We start from the raw sequence: 22,336 nt of genomic DNA, 5'->3' as shown, positions 1-22,336 counted from the left end.
AGAAAATGGACATCATGAGGAGAGAAATGGAAGATATTTTTTAAACAAGACCGACCTTGAACTTCTAGAAATGAAAAATATATCTGAAATAAAAATATATAAGGTAGTATTAATAGATTAGACACTTCATAAGAAAAAATTCGTAAACTTGAATAGCAATAGAAACTTGAATATGAGACACACAAAAAAAGCCAAAGAAAGATATCAAGAGCATCAGTGAGCTGTGGGATTATACCAGACAGGTTAAGCATATAATTGGAGTCCCAGAAGGAAAGGTGGGGGCATAGGTGGTGTTAGAAAAAGTATTTGAAGAAATAATGATGGAAGATTTTCCAAATTTGAAAACTGAACTGACAAGTTTGAGAAGTTATCCATACCCCAAGTAGAAGAAACACCATGCTAAAATGTATAGTAATCAAGTTGTTGAAAACTGGTGATAAAAATATTAAGTGCAACGAGAAGGAAAAAGGCACATTAAGTACAGAAGAACAAAGATAGGAATAACTGTCGGAAACGATGCAGGCCAGAAGACAATGTAGCTACATCTTTGAAGTACTGCAGAAGAAACAAATTTGTCAGTAGAAATTCTATACCCAGCAAATATATCTTTCAAAAAGTAAGGCTGTACTTTTCCAGACAAACAAATGCATCACCAACAGACCTGTACCAGAAGAAATATTACGTGTTCTTCAGGCGGAAGAAGAATATCAAATGGAAATGTCAGTCTACACAAAGGAATGAAGAGTGGAATTGCTCTCATTTTTTCATACCTCTAGAAGACAGGTGACTAAGGCAGAACTAAAACAACATACTGTGGGATTTATAACATACAGAAGTAAAATATAATCACAGCACAAAGAAGGAGACAAAATGGACAAATATACTGTTGGAAGATCCTTCTACTCTACATAAAGTGGTAAAATGTTATATGAAGGAAGACTGTACGTTAAAGCCATAGTAAATCATAGAGTAACCACAAAAAATAAAAATTAAAAGCAAGATATATTTACTAAGCCAATAATGGAGGCAAAATGGAGCTTTAAAAATACAAAAGAGTTGGAAAGAAGAAAAAAGATAAAAAGAACAAATAGAACAAATAGGAAGAAAGAGCAAGATGGTAGATTTAAACTCAACCACATTGATATTAAATGTAAATTATCTACGTCAACATTGTCCAATAGAAATATAATGTGAGCCACATATTTTAAATTGTCTAATAGTTACTTTTAAAAAAGTAAAATGGGCCGAGTGCAGTGGCTCATGCCTGTAATCCCAGCATTTTGGGAGGCCGAGGCGGGTGGATCACTTGGGGTCAGGAGTTTGAGACCAGCCTGGCCAACATGGTGAAACCCCGTCTCTACAAAAAATACAAAAATTAGCCAGGCATGGTGGTGCATGCCTGTAATCTCAGCTACCTGGAAGGCTGAGGCAGGAGAATCGCTTGAACCTGGGAGGTGGAGGTTACAGTGACTGAGATCACGCCACTGCACTCCAGCCTGGGCAATGGAGCGAGACTTTATCTCAAAAAAAAAAAAAAAAAAAAAAAGAGGAAATAAAATGAAACAGGTGAAATTAATTTTAACATATTTAAGGCTAGGCACAGTGGCTCACGTCTATAATCCCAGCACTTTGCGAGGCCAAGGTGGGTGCATCACTTGAGGTCAGGAGTTCAAGACCAGCCTGGCCAACATGGCAAAACTCTGTCTACTAAAAATAAAAAAAATTAGCCCGTCATCGTGTGTGCCTGTAATTGGGAGGCTGAGGCAGGAGATTCACTTGAATCCAGGAAGCAGAGGTTGCAGTGAGCTGAGATCGCGCCACTGTACTCCAGCCTGGATGACAGAGCAAGACTGTTTCAATTAAAAAATATATACATATATAAAATATATAAAATAATATATAGGTAATATATGTTATATATAAATAATATATTTTTACATAAAAATATATATAATACAGGTCGGGCGCAGTGGCTCACACCTGTAATCCCAGCACTTTGGGAGGCAGAGGCAGGTGGATCACCTGAGGTCAGGAACTTGAGACCGGCCTGACCAACATGCTGAAACCCTGTCTCTACTAAAAATACAAAAATTAGCCAGGTGTGGTGGCAGGCGCCTGTAATCCCAGCTACCCAGGAGGCTGAGGCACGAGAATCGCTTGAACTTGGGAGGTGGAGGTTGCAGTGAGCCAAGATCACACCACTGCACTCCAACCTGGGTGACAGAGTGAGACTTTGTCTCAAAAAAATATATATATAATGTATTTTTTATATATAATAAATAATATATATGTAATGTGTAATATATTAAATAATATATTTATATATGTAATATATAATATATTAAATAATATATTTATATATGTAATATATAATATATTAAATAATATATTTATATATGTAATATATAATATATTAAATAATATATTTATATATGTAATATATAATATATTAAATAATATATTTATATATGTAATATGTAATATATTAAATAATATATTTATATATGTAATATGTAATATATTAAATAATATATTATATATGTAATATGTAATATATTAAATAATATATTATATATGTAATATGTAATATATTAAATAATATATTATATATGTAATATGTAATATATTAAATAATATATATGTAATATGTAATATGTTAAATATATTTATATATGTAATATGTAATATATTAAATAATATATATGTAATATGTAATATGTTAAATATATTTATATATGTAATATGTAATATATTAAATAATATATTTATATATGTAATATGTAATATATTAAATAATATATTTATATATGTAATATGTAATATATTAAATAATATATTTATATATGTAATATATTAAATAATATATTTATATATGTAATATATTAAATAATATATTTATATATGTAATATATTAAATAATATATTTATATATGTAATATATTAAATAATATATTTATATATGTAATATATTAAATAATATATTTATATATGTAATATGTAATATATTAAATAATATATTTATATATGTAATATGTAATATATTAAATAATTATATATGTAATATGTACTATATTAAATAATTATATATGTAATATGTACTATATTAAATATATATGTAATATATTAAATAATATATTATATGTAATATATTAAATAATATTTATATATGTGATATGTAATATATTAAATAATATTTTATATATGTAATATATAATACATTAAGTAATATATAAAATATATATTATATGTAAAATATATACTACATTTTAAATATATATTAAATAATATATACTATATATTAAATAATATATATAAAATAATATATACTATATATTAAATAATATATATAAAATAATATATACTATATTTTAAATATATATTAAATAATATATACTGTATGGTAAATATATAATATATACTGTATATTAAGTATACAGTATATATTTATACTATATTAAGTATATTAAGTTATATATTAAAATATATATTAAATAATATATATCATGTATTAAATTATATATTGATATATTACATATATTATTAATATATGTTATATATAGTAATGTATAATATATAAATATATTAATATTTTTATATATTGCATAATATGTAATATATTAATATATTATACCTTATACATTAATATATATAAATATATAAAATATATATTAATATGATATATTTTATTTATATATTAAATAATATATATTATATATTCAATAACGTTATTTAACAAAATATGTCATTTTAGCATGTAGTCAAAATACTATTGAGATATTTTACCTTCTCTTTGAAATGTGCTGTGGATTTTACACTTATAGCACATCTCCGGTTGGATTAGTCACATTTCAAGTGCTCAATGGTCACATTTGGCTAGTGGCTGCCTTACTAAACAGTATAGGGTAAACATCCAATTAAAAGGCAGATATTGGCTATCCTTGGGGAGGCCAGCAAATTTCCGGATAAGGGAAGCTGGTGGGCAGGAAAAAGGCATGCAATGGCCCTCATGAGCCAGAAGAATAGCTGCTGACTGATGCCTGGGGGACCAAGCCCATAATTGTGGAGCTGGAGCCGCACTGTGTCCCTTGCTTCAGTCTGATCTTTGGGGAGCCTGCACAGTTCTGACCTCAGTTAAGAGCTAAGGGAAGAGATTTGGGAATGTTTGGCCCTGTGTAACAGCAAAAGGATTCATTGGTGAGGGTGTCTGGCAGGTATCCGTAAAGATAATAAGATGAAGGGAACATCGCCGTTTGGAAAGTGTCGTGATATGATACACAAGTTGTGCTGCCTCTGTGGCTCTAAGGCATACCACCTTCAGAAGTCAACCTGTGGCAAATGTGGCTCCCCTGCCAAGCGCAAGAGAAAGTGTAACTGGACTGCCACGGCTAAAAGAAAATACCACGGCGACTGGTTGAATGAAGCACCTAAACATTGTATACTGCAGATTTAGGCATGGATTCTTTGCAGGAACAACACCTACACCCAAGAGGGCAGCAGTTGTGTCATCCAGTTCATCTTAAGAATTTCAATGATTAGTCACACAATAAATATTCCGGTTTTTAAAAATGTATATATTTTAAACATATATATGTTTATATGTATATGTTATATCTGTATTACATATATGTGAAAAGAGGCAGAGATTGTCAGATTGGATTAAAAAGCTGTCTGTAAGAAACTATTTATTATTTATTTTTGAGACGGAGTTTTGGTCTTGTTGCCCAGGCTGGAGTACAATGGCATGATCTTGGCTCACTGCAACCTCAGCCTCCCAGGTTCAAGCGATTCTCCTGCCCCAGCCCCCCGAGTAGCTGGGATTACAAGCACCTGCCACCACACCCAGCTAATTTGTCTATTTTTAGTAGAGATGGGGTTTCACCATGTTGGCCAGCCTGGTCTTGAACTCCTGACCTCAGGTGACCCACCTGCCTTGGCCTCCCAAAGTGCTGGGATTACAGATGTGAGCCACTGCGCCTGGCCAAGGAACCATTTTAAATGTAAAGACATAGGTTTACAAAAGTTAAGGGACAGAAAAAATATACCCTGCAAACATGACTCAAAAAAGTGACTTATTAACATTATACAAATTAGATTTCAGAACAAGGAATATTATCAGTAATAGAGACATTTCTTAATGATAAAGGGGTCAGTTCATCAAGAAGGCTTAGCAACCTAAATATGTACACACCTAATAACAGAACTTCGAAATACGTGAAGCATAATCTGATAGAACTGAAAGGAGAAATAGACAAATCTATTACTGTTGGAGGTTTCACTGCCTCTGAGTAATGGATAGAATAAGTAGAAAATCAGTAAGGATATAGAAGACTGGAACAGGTAGATCGATCCTATGCACCCAAATGTTTGTACACCAGGAACACTTCCTCTACTCAGCCCTCTATGCCCTATCCTACGTGAAGCAGGATAACTGGAGCATTTCCTGTCTCTCTATTATTTTCCCCCCAAGACCCTATTCTCCCTCTCATTCCTTGCTGTCAATTTACGTGGATGAATTGGAAAAATAGCAAGCTGACATGTCTCTTTTTTGGGGGATGGGTTCTACTCTATAAACCCATATTAGTTATTACCAGTTGTTTCCAATTGGAAAAGCATTGGACTGTTGGAATACAGTATTTCTAACTTCACCAGCTAGTGAAAGGCCAATGAGGAACAAACTCATAGGAAATATGGGGGACAGGACGATGGTGAAAGAGGAATTTAGAATCTACATAGCAGACTGTAATTACACTGAAACTACAGCTAACCAGGCAGACTAATTACCTACTTGGTAAGCTTCATCTCTGAAAAGAAAGAGATATCTCTCAGCTATTCAGCATCACAATAGCCTGGTGTGTAGAGAGCATATTCTTACTTGATTGGTGGCATAAAATAAGAAGCAAAACTTTATGGGGAAGTACTAAAGTCACCCGATTTTTATTGCAGAGTCAGAATCTGGAACCAGAGCACTTGCATTTTGATGAACATTCTTTTTTTTTTTTTTTTTTTTCCTGAGACAGGGTCTCACTCTGTAATCCAGGCTAGAGTGCAGTGGTGTGATCATAGCTCACTGCAGCCTCAAACTCCCGAGCTAAAGTGATCCTCCTGCCTCAGCCTCCCAAGGAGCTGGGACCACAGGAATGTGCCACCATGCCTGGCTTTTTTGTTGGTTTTTAGTTTTTAGAGAGAAAGTCTCACTATATTGCCCAGCCTGGTCTCGAATTCCTGGCCTCAAGTGATCCTACCACCTTAGCCTCCTAAAGTGCTAGGATTACAGGCAGGAGCCCACACCCAGCTTTGTCTAGCATTCTAACTTTCAGAATATATATTTTTGATGGGAACGGGGGGAATTGGTAGTGGTCATAGTTTGATAATTTTTCCAAGGAGTAGTTAAATCTGAGTGATGCTCAGTAAAGAGAGGAAACAACCTGCAAAACATTAAGTTCAACCAGACAAACCTAGCCTTAGGAATAGGTTTTCCTTAGAGAATAAAAGCTGATTGCATAAGAAGGAAAAAAACTAGGCAAAATGAAATAAATTAGTTAAGTGACTATGATGAATCCACCATTGCTGTACACTTACGTGTAGAATAAAACGATCAGAACTAAAGTTTTCTAACGTGACTCTTTGGCTTCCACATTATTATGGTTTATCTCTTTGAAGTGTTTCTAAATAGAACTAGCCCTGATTAACCAGGGATTTATGCAAGGTCACATGGAGAATAGTAGTTATTCTCCATAAATGACTCCATAAACATGTTGCTTGCCTGTCTTTCTCTAAAAGTTTAGCTTTAATTCTGATAATTTGTTCCTTGAATTGGCATGTAAGAAAAATTCTGTGTGCATGTTTGCAGTGAGGGAAACCTGCCTTCCTGGTTTCTATAATATTACTAGGTTAGCTCCTGTGAGTGAATGACCTGAACCATACTATTCAAATGCTGCTGTTAGTCTCTTGGACTTTGTGGTTGATAAGGGTAAATTTAATTTGAAAATCAGAATGGGGAGGTCAAGGTGAAAATCTAGAGAGGTAAAATTGGAAAAATGGCTTTTGTCCCCCCAAAAGTTGTCTTGATCTCTGCTCAGAAGTATTGTCATGCCCAGGCCTTTTAGAACATTTTTTCTCAAGCTAATTAGAAGAGTTCAAACTATAAGCATGAGAATGGCTAAAAATCAAGACTTTACTGGTAGTGAAATGTTTTATTTCTAAAAACATGAGAAAACAATAGTTTGGCTGGTTTACTGGGGAAGAAGGAAGATACAAATAGCATTGGTCGTTTATGTCATTGTGGTAATGTACAGGAAAAAGATTGAATCCTTAGTTTGAAAACATTGTAGGCTTTTCTCTGAAAGAAAAGCTTTTTTCAGCTTCAGCCTGGCAGCTCTTCAAATAAAATCTCAAAGGAACAAGGCACTATAAACAACCCACCCATCCCTAAACATGACTGCATAGACAAGTAGATGCTTATGGCCAAGGCTGCAAAGGCAGCAGGAAGGGTAGCTCCTTAAGCACCAAGAGCCACAGTGAGCAAATAGAGGCAAGTGTGGGTCCCAGAAAAGGTGACAGGTGGACTAATGTTGACAGTTAGTCCTCAGATTGTGGTATATTGGTGAGACAAATAGCAAGCACAGGACTCATCTACTTTTAGCTCATTTCAAAGGGAATTTAGGATCTGCTGGTGCTAAGAGAGTCTTGTTTGAGGAAAGGGCTGTTGCCAACTTGGCGTCGGGGACAGTTGTCTTCACAAAAGTCAAGCAAATGCTGTGACCATCACTGCTCCTCTTTCATCTTGAACACTGTGATCCCTTCTCTCATTTCTTTTTCCTTCATCTTCAGCCCTCCTCTGTGAGATGACATGTAGGACTTTTTTGTTCTCTCTTAGCTCATTTTTTTGGTTTAATTGTGTCTTGGCTGAACTATGGCAATTTTCCTCATTTGGATGGTGTAATAGCTAAAAAAATTGAGGAGAAAGACTTGAATCCAGATTCTGCCTTGGATGTCAGATTTACATTCTCAGCTAATGTGGGGAGCATTGAGGTCACCAAACTCCCTTCTACTGGGATCTAGGGGAAATGAAAAAGAACCCAGATCATTCCTTAGAGCTAATTAACTAGTTGACTTTGGAGGCCATTTTCCTCTCAGTTGAGAAACTTTGGTTGGGTGCAGCAATGGAAGAGGAATTCTCAAAGGGAACAGATACCATGGTGTCTGATGACTGGGGTTCTCTGTTCTTGTTCAGCTGTGTTGGTCTTTAGCTTTCTAGTGAACCCTCTGAAGGTGAAAAAACAAGCAAAACTCAGGCTGTGTAAGTCCAGCTAAGCTTCCTTGGTTTCTGGAACTCTTTCCTCTTGAAAAATAGAATAGTGATGTATAGCATGACACTCATTTATGTCATTCTTTTTTTTTTTTTTCACTTCAGACTTACGATTCCAGAGGTAATCTCTGATAGGCACCTAGGGGAGATGTATTTCCATGGCTGTCATGTGCTTCACCGTCCTTATCTCTCTGCCTGATTCCTTTCACCTCCTGCTTCAGTCCTTATTTCTTGTTGGAATATATAAGCTGTCTGCCCCTATGGAAGGTTTCGCTTACAGTAACTGGCAGATCATCTGCTTATGTCTTGGATTGAAGGGTTTACCCTATAACATGGCCAACATTATAAGATGGGTAGAAGGCCAGAGGAATCAGTGAATTCCTTCTTGCCAATTTTTCCTCATTAGAGAACATAGTTTACAGCCTAGAAATCTGTACTTGCTGGGAAGATCCTACTGCATTTATGGCTGCCTTCGGAAACCTAGAGGCAGTCTTTAGCACCATTATCCTGAGGGGCAGAGTTAGACTGAAAACTTATAGTTAAGAAATACCTGATTCTAATTGTGTCTTGATTAATTATTATCTGTAACAACTGATCTCCAGTTATCTATTGGGCATCACACTAGGCAGAGAATAAGCCACAACCTGAGTCCTTTGGGCTGACTGGGCCTGTTGCTCAGTCATCAGCTGCAGAGAAAACAGTGTCTTTCTTCAGTCCTAGCCTTCCCCTACCTCAGAGCTCTGCCTCATGGCGAGTGTGGTTTTCCCGCAGCTGCCTAGGCATCCTCATCTATAGGCCCTTTCTCTGGTCTAGACCGTGCTCCGGTGTGTTCCTGGCAGTGTTCCCCTGCTGCCTACCCAGTATGTCGTTGCTTACTGTTGGGCAGTAGCTCACTGTTCTGGCATCCTGGTGTGTAAATATTTGTCAAAGAACAGGGGCATTTTCCCATTCCCCAAAAAGCATTCTGAAAAATGTGCCTGTTTTCTTAGTCATATTTCCAAGCCGTGGATCAGTTAGCCCATTCATTCCTTGCAGTTGACAGACACTGGCCTGACCTCAGCTGGCCACATAAAGTAAGTATGCAGTAACTTCCGGCACGATAACTTTCAAGTTTTAGTACCAAAGAGTCCTGGACCTAATGGAACCATACACAACATAGTCACTATTAGAGAAGATGTCGTTTCATTAACAAAGAATCACACATCTCCCCACTCAGCCATTGTAATTTCTTTCCACACTTAATATTGAAGGCATAAATGGAATCAACAAAGATGAGAAAGCTAACCATATAGATTCTGGGGTAGAACGTTATTCTTCATGTTTGTGACTTGACTTTAGGTCTCATATAAGGTAGGTTTTTATACTTCCATGTGTGCCTTTATATAAAGGTGACATTGCTGAGCTACTATCAGTTTACAGGTGTTTTTCCAGTATAATTAATGGCTTCTCCTGTCACTTAGTTCTACTTGAGACCAAAAGAGTTTGCCTCTGCAGGATGGGTTATTAAGTTGAAAAGGCAGTCTTTAACCATGGAGCAGAGTTTTCCATCTTTGTGTAAAACCATGTGGCTGTCATATAAAATTTGAGTTCTTGATTTTAACTTGACTAACACTAGGCGCTAACTGAGCTCAGTATCTACTTAAATTGCTCACACAGTTCCAGTAGATAAAGGTAACTGCTAATGTGCATTATTAAACTGCTTGCATGCCTTCCTCTCCTTTTCTGTAAGCCTCACCTTAACACCCCTGTCTTCCTGCAGTCTTTTGACCTAACCTTCAGTCTTCTACAAGCCTGGCCAGCGTCTGCCCATTTGTACTCCCAACCCCATAATATATATGTCAGCTTTTTCTCTTTTCACCATTTATAGCACTTCAGCCTTCCCCCTTCTAGTCAGAATTTGATTTAGAGAAATGAATCTGTTGGATGTTGAAGACTTAATTCAGTTTATTAGGAAACAATTACATATGCTATTCAACACAGCAACTGCAACTATTTTGAAAGGCTAGGCCTGAGTGTCTATTCTAATAGGTGTAATTTCTTCCCACAGATCATCAATTTCTACATGAATATGCTGATGGAGCGAAGTAAAGAGAAGGGCTTGCCAAGTGTGCATGCATTTAATACCTTTTTCTTCACTAAATTAAAAACGGCTGGTTATCAGGCAGTGAAACGTTGGACAAAGAAAGTAGATGTATTTTCTGTTGACATTCTTTTGGTGCCCATTCACCTGGGAGTACACTGGTGTCTAGCTGTGAGTACCCCTTTCATTTTTGATAAAATGTAAAAGCTATGTACTTATAGAACACACAGAGGGTAGTGAGTAGTAGTTCTACATGTTCCCTTGATTATTGAGAGAAAGAGTGTTTAGTAGTAGGTTGACTAAAATCAGATAGATCTATGAACTTCCTATCAAGATTGGGATGTAGATTTTGAAGAAAGCTGTGGAATTTCCCTTTCTAGAAATATTTAAAAGAGAGTTATAGGGTGTCTAAGCAGCCTTAAAGGAAGGCATGGGGGAAAAAAAGTGACTTATTAATGATGCTGCCACTCAGATTCTGTGACTGTTATTTTCAGCCTAATCATAACTTACCTTGCATACTTGGTAATTTAATATTTTTATGACTCTGTGAGCATTAGCTTAATGTGTTAATAAAACTATTTCACAGTCTGTTTTGGATTACATTTCAAAAGCATAAAGCCAAAAGGAACTTCTCAATATAAAGAAATAAAACCCAGAATCTGCTCACCATCTTTCTGAAACTTTGTGGAAGTGATTTTGAGATACTCACCTTATATTCCCTGAAAATCATGTAGTTTCTTCACTGTTGCCCACTTTGCAGAGGGAGAGAATGAACATTAGAAAAAGGCTTCACAGCAATAATGGGGCCACCTGTTGATGAGTGCCATCATAGTTTTATGTAAATAACCCTTCATTTTTTTTCTCTACAGATTAAGCATAATATAATGCAAAATATCAGTCAAACTTGTCATGATTTTGTAGGAAGTCTGGCAAAAGGTTCCAAAGGGCAGGGAAGGGAAAAACTGATAAACCGATTTTCTTCATCTCATAAACACAGAGACTTTTTTTCTTATTCTCAGGTTGTGGACTTTAGAAAGAAGAATATTACCTATTACGACTCCATGGGTGGGATAAACAATGAAGCCTGCAGAATACTCTTGTAAGTAGGGAGTTGAGGACAGAAGAGTTTGATATCGGGTATAGGTGGTGTTTTTCCAGTAATTGAACTCAGTTGTTTGATACCTTCAATGGAGTGATTGATAAAATCTTCATATTAAGTAAAAATGCATATTTTGTATCTAAGTAAGTTTAGTTTAAAAACAATACCAAAGTATGCCCTAATGGGAGCAATTACTATCCTAATGCACTAAAATGTAGACTAGATATAAAGATATAGATGCTACTTAGAAATCATTTAATCCAACCTCCTAATTTTTCAGATGAAGAGACCAAGGCCCACAGAGGTGCCTTTGATTTGCCCAGGTCCTATTAGTTAGTGGCTCAGGTGGACCAGAATGCAAATCTCTTTATGCTCCACCTGTTTCATTTTCCAAAATACCTATTCCTCACTGTACCACTCTGATGGCCAGGAGGAAGTACATTCCACAATGGTGAACAGTTTGCACTTAAAAGAGAGCTCTATTGAAGGTATGCACTCAATACATTGTTGATTTGGATTTAATTTTTAGATAGGAGAGCCAAGCCTAACAGTAGTAAATAAATACCTCAATAGTACCAGAAAAACACTTTTCTTCCATTAGATTGAGTTCTAAAGGACCATATAAACCAAGGAAAAGAATAAAAAGAATTGTTCCTCAGAAGGAATGGTAGGTAGAAGGAGCTTAACTGTTAGAGGCAGAGGTCATGTTCCTTTTGAGTTGACAGAGTGGACATTAGAAGAGACAAGCTAGAAGAGGCATGCTCAGCTCTGGAGAAAACTTAACAATCCAGGGATTCCCTGCCCAGTATTATATACTCTTTTCCTCAGAAGAGCAGATGAAACAAATTTGTTCCTAGGTATTGTCAGCCCCATTCTTAGTGTGGCAGCTGTCATCGATGTTCCCCACTGCTTATCTCATTCTCTCCTGATACCTTTAGGCAATACCTAAAGCAAGAAAGCATTGACAAGAAAAGGAAAGAGTTTGACACCAATGGCTGGCAGCTTTTCAGCAAGAAAAGCCAGGTACCTTTCATCTTGATGAAATAAAAGTCCTAAAAGTAGGGTATTTGGGGAGGAAAGAATTTTACTGCTTAATTCCCAGGGACCACCTGTGTTCGTGTCTAGCCTGACTTCAGCTTGGTTGGTTGGTTTCTGGGGGAGGATAAATTAAGCTATCCGTAGGAAAAGTGATAGTGTGTTTCTTATGTAGAACTAGGTTTTCTAAATGCCCAGATATTTTACTAAGCTTTTCACTCCTAAGGGGAATGTTTGCTGATTATTTGGCCTCTGGGGGAGGGAGCAGTTTTTATACCCTTAGGTGCCATGGGAGTCGGAGATATTCTCCTGTTTGATTAATACAGAGTACACAGACCTGACTGGAATGTTGTATTTTGTTTCTTTGAGCCTCTGTTGTCCTGACTGGGGGGCCAGAGTCATCTGTTTGTAATTTAGAGAAACCTGTACAATTTATATCTTTTGGTTCTTATTTTTAATCTAAGAAGGAAAGAAGCTTGGAAAGATGTCATTTTTTTTGTTGTTGGTCTTCCAGGAGATTCCTCAGCAGATGAATGGAAGTGACTGTGGGATGTTTGCCTGCAAATATGCTGACTGTATTACCAAAGACAGACCAATCAACTTCACACAGGTGAGCTGAGCCTTCCATAGGGAGCTCTAGGATTACTTTGTCTCCAAGCTGCCCTGTAGATGTTTTTCTCTCCAGTTGTTCTCTTTAGGGGCCTCTACCCTAACCTTTAGCATGCTTCAGCCCATGATTCATAACACTGATGGTTACTACCTGAATCACATCACAAAAGAAAGAAAATTAGTGATAAGCCACGTCCTGGGTTACCACACCTCAGTTATTGTAGTAAAGGTTTCAAGAGCAGAACCTTCTCTGCCTGTCTCCTCTACCTACTGTAACTTCTAGAGAGAACTGGGACCAGAGCAGGTTTCTTTAGTTCCCTTGCATTTCGTTAGTAGTCAGGTTTGGGAATAGGCCATACCTCAATCTCCTAGTGTAATTTGTTATGCTGCCCCCTCCCCTGACCCCTCACTTGATGAATCTGGTCAGTCTTCTCTTAGAGAGTGATTGGTCATTTCTGTCCATGTGGTCTCTCAGACCAAAGTGGATTGAGATTAGAGATTATGGTTTATTCTGATGTGTTCTCCACTTTTACTTCTGTTTGAATCAGTGACTTTACCAGATTTTTCTACCATAGCCCTTTGTCTAGACCAGCCTGAGCTGACTCTTCAAGTTCCCTTAATTCTTCTAAAAGGTGAATTTTTTATTTTTAGGCCTAGGCTCATATCCTCTTAAAAGTTCAACATAGAAGACTTATTAGACACCATTCTCAAAATTCTTAGAGACGTGGGCATAGCCTGGGGATTCCTGGAAATACCCAGTGTAACTTCTAAGGCTATAATGGTGAAAAATAACAATAGAAAAAGCAATGAAAAGAAAAAAACTACATGTAACCAAGAATGAATAATTTAAAAGACCAGAAATACAACTGAGACTGTTTGTTGAAAACCTTGCAAAAGAAAGAAGTATGGGGAAAGGCGTATCAGGTCTAGACAAAAGCATTGAAAATTAAGGGTGTCTCTGTGTCCCTACAGCAACACATGCCATACTTCCGGAAGCGGATGGTCTGGGAGATCCTCCACCGAAAACTCTTGTGAAGACTGTCTCACTTAGCAGACCTTGACCATGTGGGGGACCAGCTCTTTGTTGTCTACAGCCAGAGACCTTGGAAACAGCTGCTCCCAGCCCTCTGCTGTTGTAACACCCTTGATCCTGGACCAGGCCCTGGCGAGATGCATTCACAAGCACATCTGCCTTTCCTTTTGTATCTCAGATACTATTTTTGCAAAGAAACTTTGGTGCTGTGAAAGGGGTGAGGGACATCCCTAAGCTGAAGAGAGAGACTGCTTTTCACTTCTTCAGTTCTGCCATCTTGTTTTCAAAGGGCTCCAGCCTCACTCAGTCCCTAATTATGGGACTGAGAAAAGCTTGGAAAGAATCTTGGTTTCATATAAATTCTTGTTGTTAGGCCTTACTAAGAAGTAGGAAAGGGCATGGGCAAAAGGTAGGGATAAAAACCACCAGCATATACATGGACATACACACACACCCACACACACAAACACACACACACACACAATTTTCACGATGTATGGTCAGGAATGTGACTGTAAACTGGACTTTGGGGCCCAGGCATAAGTCCCTTCCTCCAGGACCTTTCCTATTTATATGTCCCTATACAAAATCCATCTGCTTTTATACGTAGCTGTTTTATCATCTGTAGCTTCATCCTATCCGGAGGCACAGCACATGAGCCCTGGACAGGTCCCAAAGTTCCAAGCAGTCCTTTCCGTGAAAGCAGGGGTTTGCATGTGCTACCAACACATGATACGGGGAAGACCCACCCAGGGAGCGGTTTCAGTGGCGCAACAAAGCACCACTTTTACTGTTGCCTACTTCTGACCAAGAAGAAAAAGGACCTTAGTATTTAGCATAAAATTCCAGCGCTGGATGAATGCAGATCTAGTTTGGTCTGTGGCTAGTTTAAATATGTTTCTAACCACAGAGAATTTCATATATATATACATATATATATACACATACATATATATATATATATATGTATGTATAAAATTTCACAGGGATATGCTTTTTTTTTTAAAGACTGAATGTGTTCACCATTTAGCCTGTAGATTTATTTCCATTTTCCAAATTCCAGCACACAGAGATCCCAGCCCCTATGAGTAGGGTGTTTGTGGACTACCTAATGGAATATTTTTGAGGCCTGGATGAACTTTGCCATATGGGTAGAGGTTACAGAGGGAGGTGATATTTTCAGCTAAAAAAAAAAACGGGTGGAGTTTGGACTGATCAACTTGAGATTTAAAAACTGCTATTCCTTTTGTTCTTTCTAGCATCTCTCCCCACCCTCTGAGAGCTCCTCAGGCTTAGATAGTGAAGTGATCAAATGCCAGTGTCATTTTGTACTTAAGTTCCAAAGTAGGAACATTTTATACTTTTTTCTGTATTGTAATAGGTAGTTTTGTATGAAATCTTTTCTCCTCTCCCGTTGTACCGCATTCTTTCCAGCATTGTGCTTTTTCCCTGGGCTTATTTGAAAATTTTACTGTTTTATACAAGCTCGTTTAGTACATTTTTCTATGTTTTACCACAAGTTACAATTTGAAAAGAAAACTATTTTTTTTAAATATTCCATTGTTAACTGAATGTTACTGTTTCCACTCCAGCAACTACATGTCCTCCCTTCAACTGCCTGCCTTTTGGGGAAAGACCACCTTTTGTGTGTTTGTTTTTTCTCTCTCTTTCTTTCCCTTTCTCTTTCTATCTCTCTTTATTTTTCTTTCTTTTTCTTTGTTTTTGAGTTTTCTATAGGAAATAAATAGCTTTCTATATATGAGTTGCTGGGGACCTTCACATTCTCTTTTAGAAAGCTGTGGCATGCAGTCTCATTGCAGGACTCCTGGAATATTGTCTGGTTCTTGGTATTTACTGTATGTAAGCAACAACTTGAAAGGTGGCAATATGGTGTCGATTTGGACTATGAATCAAAAGACCTTTTTCAGGTTCTTTCACTATTGTCTGGGGGACTCAGAACAAGATTGTTCTCTGTATTTATTGTTTGTCCATTTAGGTAACATCTGTCTTACCTTCCTCACAGACTTTGTACAGACCAAAGCAACAAATATTTATTGCCATGTATAGCAGAAAATGAAACATGCAACAAAAGCACTTTGAAAAATATATAAGGAATTGTTGAGCCTGTCTGAATTTGGGCCCCCTTTCTGACTAATGCAGTTTTGCACAAGGTAGAAGTTAGTGACCCTGAGACCATCTTACCACCCTGGACCTGGTCCAAATACAGACTTACACAGTGGACCATTCTTTCCTGAGCTAGCCAACAAGAGCAGGAGTAGTATCTGGAAACTTTCCCCTTTGTTTAGGGGTAGGCTTTGATGACCAGGAAAAAAAAAAAGGTATTTCTGCATTTTATGGCCCAAAGGCATGTTATTAATATCTTATGTAATTTACTTTAAACTAAATAAGACTTTTTTCTCCTGTGTTCCCCTTTCTCCTGTGTCCACTGCTCATATTCACCTGCCTTCCCTAAAAAAGGAATATTTGAGGGATGATAAGCACTAGATGCCAGCTATAGAGACCTCAACAGAAACCATAATCCCAAGAATCACTCCGAGACCCTGAACAGAGAATATCAGACAGACCTTTCTTACCCATTTGAGAAACACATGGTCTGAGGCACAGAGGCTAGTTACATCCCATTTGTCACCTGGGACCCACCATTGCTCCCAGGAGTCCTATTTAGGGTTGAATATAAGAGTACTTTTCCCTCATCCAGTCTGGGGAATTTGTGTCAATTGACTCCTCTGTATGAGATGCTTCATACTTCTATGTGGAATTAATTTCTGTATTCTTTAGCCACTGTAATCATGCTAGCATCTTCTATCCACTGCCCCCAGCAATGTTAGCACCAAGATCCTGAGGTAGAAACAGAGATAACCTGGAAAAGCACTTCCACCAACCCCATCTCATAGCCTGTCCATTACTGCCTGGTTTTACATGGCCCTTAAGTGGCTCTAGTGGGTAAAGGGGGAAGAGTTCACTTGAGAGCCCCAATGTTTTTAATGTTTCAGTTTCTGGTCCTGTGCCATCCCTCCAGCTTTTAAATATGTCTTGCTGGAGTAAGAGAGAGGACTGACACCTGGGGTTTCTTTTTGTTTGGTCCACCTGGATGGACTAGCATGAGGTGGAATATGATGCTTTCACCCTGGGAGTTCACATACCCAAGAGAGTCAGAAAAAGAGGTGTTAGGCTATTAGGCCCTATTGTTAAACAGGCCACGTGCTGAACTACTGGGAAGGGTACCTTATTTTCCCGCCCAGGAGCAATGCATCTACAGCTTGGAATTCCATGGGAAGGGACAAGGCTCATCCCAGCATCCTTTATTATAAGTCTAGGGCCTTGTTTTACCTGTACTGACTCCTAACATCTGTCTACTAAGAACACACACTACCATTCCCAGCTTTGAAGGTGGAAAAGGAAACGTGGGACAGAGGGTTATGCTGGTCACCTGTTAAAATAAAGGATACCTTACACATACTTCCTTTGTGGGAGAGAAAAGAGTGGCTAGGAGGCTTTGAGCTGGGACCTCGAGGAAATGTTATTGTGAGCTGTCTCTTTGGCCTGTCAGGGAGATGGTAGGGATAATTCCAATTATGTGAATGGTTGGACCACGTGTCCAGGGGTCTTATCAAACTCTAAGATTCTGGAATGGTATTAAGTGCCACAATGTTGCTGGGAAGAGGAAGTCAAGGCAGAGATTCAAAGTTAAATTTTTAAGGCCACTGGCTTAGCACTGGCTTGGTTTTAGAGTTAAGGCGACAAGACCTTAGCTGCAGAATTTTCTCCATTCCAATCTAAGGAGTAGCCATCAATTCCTTACTTCTGGAGATTGCCTTATCCTTTGCAGAACACAAGTGCTAGGAAAGGAAAAAGTGTGGGAGAGTGGCACACAAGAAGTCCAGAGTCCAGTCCACTGGAGACCCCTCATTCAATTTACTTTTATTCTTTTCACAAATACCTACTGAGTAATCGTACGCAAATCCTATCTCTTTGATGCCTTCCCTGATCACATGATCTTAATATCTCTCATCTGGACATCTGCAGCCCTTATAATCAGAAAATAATATAAGTCCACATGGTATTTGTATTGTAATTCACCTTTTGCATCATGAATGGACTGAGACATGTAGCCACCAAGGGCAGGTAAATGATTTGGTGCTTTTTTTTCAAACCAGGAATAAAAGCTGTTTCTTTCTGGCCTGCCAGTGATGAGGTAGAGGTAATTATTCAACATTTATTTAGAAAGACAACATTGTGGGCCAGGCATAGTGGCTCACACCTGTAATCCCAGCACATTGGGAGGCTGAGGTGGGAGGATCCCTTGAGCCCAAGAGTTCGAGATCAGCCTGGGCAACACAAAAATTTAAAAAAAATATATTGTGAAGAAAGGAGGACTGCTCATGGCAGCCTGCAACCTCCTTTGTGGTCCCAAATCGTTCATCTCTGGCCTCAAACCTAACGCTCCACTCTACCCTTAACAAAAACACCTTCCTCAGCATTTAGCATGCTCTTTGGGGTGGGTGGGGGTTCTCAGTCTCTACCAGGGGCCTTGTGGAAGTATTTTCTCTACACAGCTTTCTGTTAAATAGTTTCCTCCATCCTTTTTATTTCCGGTGATATTGTGCATCCCTCATAGACTGAGACTCTGAGGAAGCCCCTCAGGCTAGGTGTTTTACAAGCACGTGTTTAAGCACTGGCCTTAGTCGCCCTGAAGGGTGGAGTGAAAAGATGGTTTGACTATGGAAATAAAAGCCACCTTGTTCTCAGGTTTTTATAGCCTGCTGACCTTGTCCTCAGGATCTTAGAGTCTGTATTAGAGTCTGTAGACCTTATAGTTAACTAATTTAGGAAGCTAAGCAAACACCAAGCAATATACCTTATCAAGAAGGCAGACTCATAGGCATGTAGTTCCATACAGAACTAGAAGTAGAGGATGAAGGGGCAAAGGTGGAGGTAAGTCAGGGATAATGTTGCCTTTATCTGCCTATCTATATGATTCTTCCTAATTTTTAAAAAGTTGACTTATTTAAAATAAACTGTGGATCTTGCTTTCTTGCTTTGACTGGAAACTCCCTGGTAAAAAGGACTTGATGGTGTTTGTCTCTCTGTCCCCCTGTCTCTGTGGCTGTTTGCTCTGTCTCTGTCTGTGCCTGTGTCTCCCGATCCAAGCTGGACCAGTGATTGGATCCTCGGTGTGGTCTGGATTTCTGAGTCCACCCCTTACCCAGGAGTCTGAATACTGTTCATTCATTTATTTCATCCCATATACCTGGAAGTGAAGCCTGGAACGCAAATAACATGCAAATTTGTGGCTCTTTGGCACTTTAAAAAACCAAACCTGTCTGTGGAGGCTGCCAAAGAACTTTCCTGAGGCCAAACACACCAATCAGGACTTCCAACCCACCCTGCTAACTGTGGCCTTCTGTTCTTGCTCCTCTCCTGCACCCCTTTCTTCTCACAATATAACTTCGAAGTGAAGTGCTTGCCACTTTTCTACCTGTAAAACTCACACTCATGACAGTAAAACATAAGAAAGCACCAACTTCTCAAAAATCTATTATTTTGGGGGAACAGTTTTCTCTATGTTGGGTTAGAAGATCCTCTTCTTGTCCCCAGGATGTTCTCAAATTCTAAGGTTTTCTTTTAGTCATGGTTAAGACTTTGAAGCCAATTGAATATGGAGTGACTAGGGAAATCTTCAAGCCACGTTCGCTCTCCTGATTCCTGAATGTGGTTAAAAATAGCTGACGAATGCCTGGGTCTGCACCAGGTATCACCAGTCAGGCAATAGACTGTCCCTGCGAATGGGGACCTGGACCTAACCATGGGTCAGAGTCAGCCTTTATCCCAAACCACTCCCTGGGTATCTGGTCTAGTCTTGGGCTCTGCAGAAAGTTACAAAGGGAAGGGGGTGGGGTGCCTGTTCCTTGAACCCCAGGAAAAATATTTTACTTCCTTACCTTCCTGTGCCTCATTTTTCCATTGTCCCATCACCAGCCAATCATCTCTGCCTGTAAGAGTCAACCCATCACTTTTCCAGTAGCATCCCCCACCACTCTCCCCTGCCCACTCTGCCTCAGCCACAATGGCCTCTTTGGTGTTTGTCTAAGAAGCCAAGCTTGCTTTTACTTCAGGGCCATTCTACTCAATGCTTCCTCTGGGCTCTGGTGGAATGTTACCCTATACCCCAATTCTCACACCCCATAGCTTTCTTACCCTCAGTTTTTCCCCACAGTACTTAACAGCATCTAACTATATTACAAGTTGACTCCCCCTTATCTGAAATGCTTGGGACCAGAAGTGTCTCAGATTTTGGAATATTTGCATTATACTTACCAGTTGAGCATTCCAAATCTGAAACCCAAAATGCTCCAATGAGCGTTTCCTTTGAGTGTCATGTCAGCATACAAAAAAATTCAATTTTGGAGCATTTCAGATTTGGGATGCCCAACCTGTATTAAATGATTTGTTTTATCCATCACTAAAATATCTGTATTCCAGGTGCTAGAATTATGTATTCCAGGTGCCTAGAATAGTTGAAGGAGAGAATAGTTGAAGGGACGAATGAATTCCTGTTATTTAGCATCTTTGACCTGTGCTTCCATCATGAAGCCTCCACCCTATTCCAGGTTCTCACATCTTTGTGTCTAGTTTATACTTCCTACCTCAGAGTCTCTGGCTTCAAGTTCATTGTCCATTTGGCAGTTAGAGTTGTTGTCTTCAAATAGTGTTAATGATAATATAAACATTTATCGAGACCTTGGCCTGAGACTTACATGTCAAATACTTTATATGTATTACTTCATTTAATCTTCACAAATCTATGATGTAGGTACATTATTATCCCCATTTCTCAGATGAGAAAATGAGGAGGATAGGGATTAAATAATTTGCCCAGAGTCTCTCAGATTTTCAGTGACAGAAACAGGGAGCATATGACTCCAAGACCCCTAAAAGTGCTAGAATCTGCTGCTTCCACGTGGCCACACGACTTCATCTCAACAGGAAAAACGCCTGACCTAGACTCCAAGGGGACTCGACCAAAGTGAAACCAAATAAGAGAACCTTTGACAAAGTTCTCAAAGTCATCTTCTGCTTTTCTCTCGTGAGCAACATTGAGGTCCTTATTTGTCTTTTCATCATAGTTTGGAAGTCAAGGGGAATGAGGAGGTCCCTCTGTCATTGGTTCACTTTCTCTTGGCTTCTCCAGACAGGGATAACAAGGAATTCTCCTCACCTCTCCCATGACAACCCTTTCCTGTCTGTCCTTTTTCTTTTTGGCTCCTCCTTTCATCCTCTGCTCTTGGCTGTGCACATTAGCAAACCTCTTTTCCCTCAAGGTCTCTAGTCTGAATCCAGAAAGGGGAAGGCTAGGGATTGAAGGTGGTGAGGTAGGGAGACATCAAGTGGATTCAGCCTGTCCCCACCGACGGCCTCAGGAATCCAGTGTGCCAGGCGGTGGCCCTCTCTGGGGATGACCTGGGGACCTATACTTGTAGGAATTTGGAAACATTTCTAGTGCTCCATTTTATCTTTTTGCCTCGGTCTGTGTCTCCCGCTCTGTCTCTTCAGCATGGAGTTTCCTCGGCCATTCCTACTGGTTTGAGAATGTCAGGAATGCAGAGCCTTGTGCCCTCCCTCTCCTCCACCTCCCACCCCCATACACTGAGCCCCTCTGCCCTGTAGAGGCGGAAGTTAGTTCAGCTACAGACTGAGGGGGAGGGGTGCCGCCCTGTTACTGGAGAAGGAAGACAGCACACATTCTGGCTCAACCCCTCCTCCTGCCCTCTCTCCTATTTCATCCCCAAAATCAGTCTGCCACTTTCATCTTCCTCTTCAACAGACAGCCTTTCCCACCCTCACCCCTCACTGGAGGCCTCTCTTGATGGTAATTACTCCTAATTGTTTTCCCTTGGCTCACGAAGCCTTTCCTTGCCTGCCCTGAGCCAACAGCTCTCCTGTGTCTGCTCAGAAAATGGGCTCAACTCTCATGGAAAGAGAGGCTAGCCTCTTTGGGCTTCAAAACCCTGGCTTTCTAGATCTAAGTCAGAGGGGAGGCACCCACTTGGGCTCTCTCAAGGCAAATTGCAACAGAGAATAGTGACCAAACCCTAGCAGCAAGGTCTCCTGAGGAGCTCTGAGCATTTCTCTGAAGATCTCAGCACCAGA

At 39.0% G+C, this 22,336-nt stretch overlaps 1 protein-coding gene and 1 pseudogene across 16 annotated transcripts in view, besides 2 other annotated features; both read left to right on the top strand.

Moving 5' to 3' along the window:
* Positions 1 to 16,591, top strand: part of SENP1 (SUMO specific peptidase 1) — a 63,183-nt gene extending 46,592 nt beyond the window's left edge. For 15 of the 16 annotated variants that reach the window (NR_051992.2, XM_017019237.2, NM_001267594.2 and 12 more), the window contains 5 exons: positions 10,356 to 10,559; positions 11,408 to 11,487; positions 12,426 to 12,510; positions 13,037 to 13,132; positions 14,104 to 16,591. Coding sequence is in view for 14 of the 16 variants with exons in the window: in XM_017019237.2 (XP_016874726.1) it covers positions 10,356 to 10,559; positions 11,408 to 11,487; positions 12,426 to 12,510; positions 13,037 to 13,132; positions 14,104 to 14,166 (528 nt within the window). In the remaining 2 variants the exon portion in view is untranslated. The remainder of the gene's footprint in view (positions 1 to 10,355; positions 10,560 to 11,407; positions 11,488 to 12,425; positions 12,511 to 13,036; positions 13,133 to 14,103) is intronic. The other variant, NR_051991.1, reaches the window with a different exon arrangement.
* RPL37P19 (ribosomal protein L37 pseudogene 19) lies at positions 4,235 to 4,520 on the top strand (annotated as a pseudogene).
* Positions 12,935 to 14,134: an enhancer, noted in NCBI's record as "CDK7 strongly-dependent group 2 enhancer chr12:48439137-48440336 (GRCh37/hg19 assembly coordinates)". NCBI's record gives its function as "activates an origin of replication core promoter dependent on BRD2, BRD4, P300/CBP, MED14 and CDK7 cofactors, with strong dependence on CDK7, by STARR-seq in HCT116 cells {active_cell/tissue: HCT116}" and the evidence as "EXISTENCE:reporter gene assay evidence [ECO:0000049][PMID:35650434]".
* Positions 20,980 to 21,920: an enhancer, noted in NCBI's record as "H3K27ac-H3K4me1 hESC enhancer chr12:48431351-48432291 (GRCh37/hg19 assembly coordinates)". NCBI's record gives its function as "activates a minimal SCP1, AML or CMV promoter by ChIP-STARR-seq in primed H9 embryonic stem cells {active_cell/tissue: H9 hESC(primed)}" and the evidence as "EXISTENCE:reporter gene assay evidence [ECO:0000049][PMID:30033119]".

The sequence above is a fragment of the Homo sapiens genome, chromosome 12, assembly GCF_000001405.40.
Source record: "Homo sapiens chromosome 12, GRCh38.p14 Primary Assembly".
In the NCBI taxonomy this organism is placed as follows: Eukaryota; Metazoa; Chordata; class Mammalia; order Primates; family Hominidae; genus Homo; species Homo sapiens.
The sequence above is the reverse complement of the archived record's forward strand: the minus strand, read 5'-3'. Positions and strand labels throughout refer to the sequence as shown.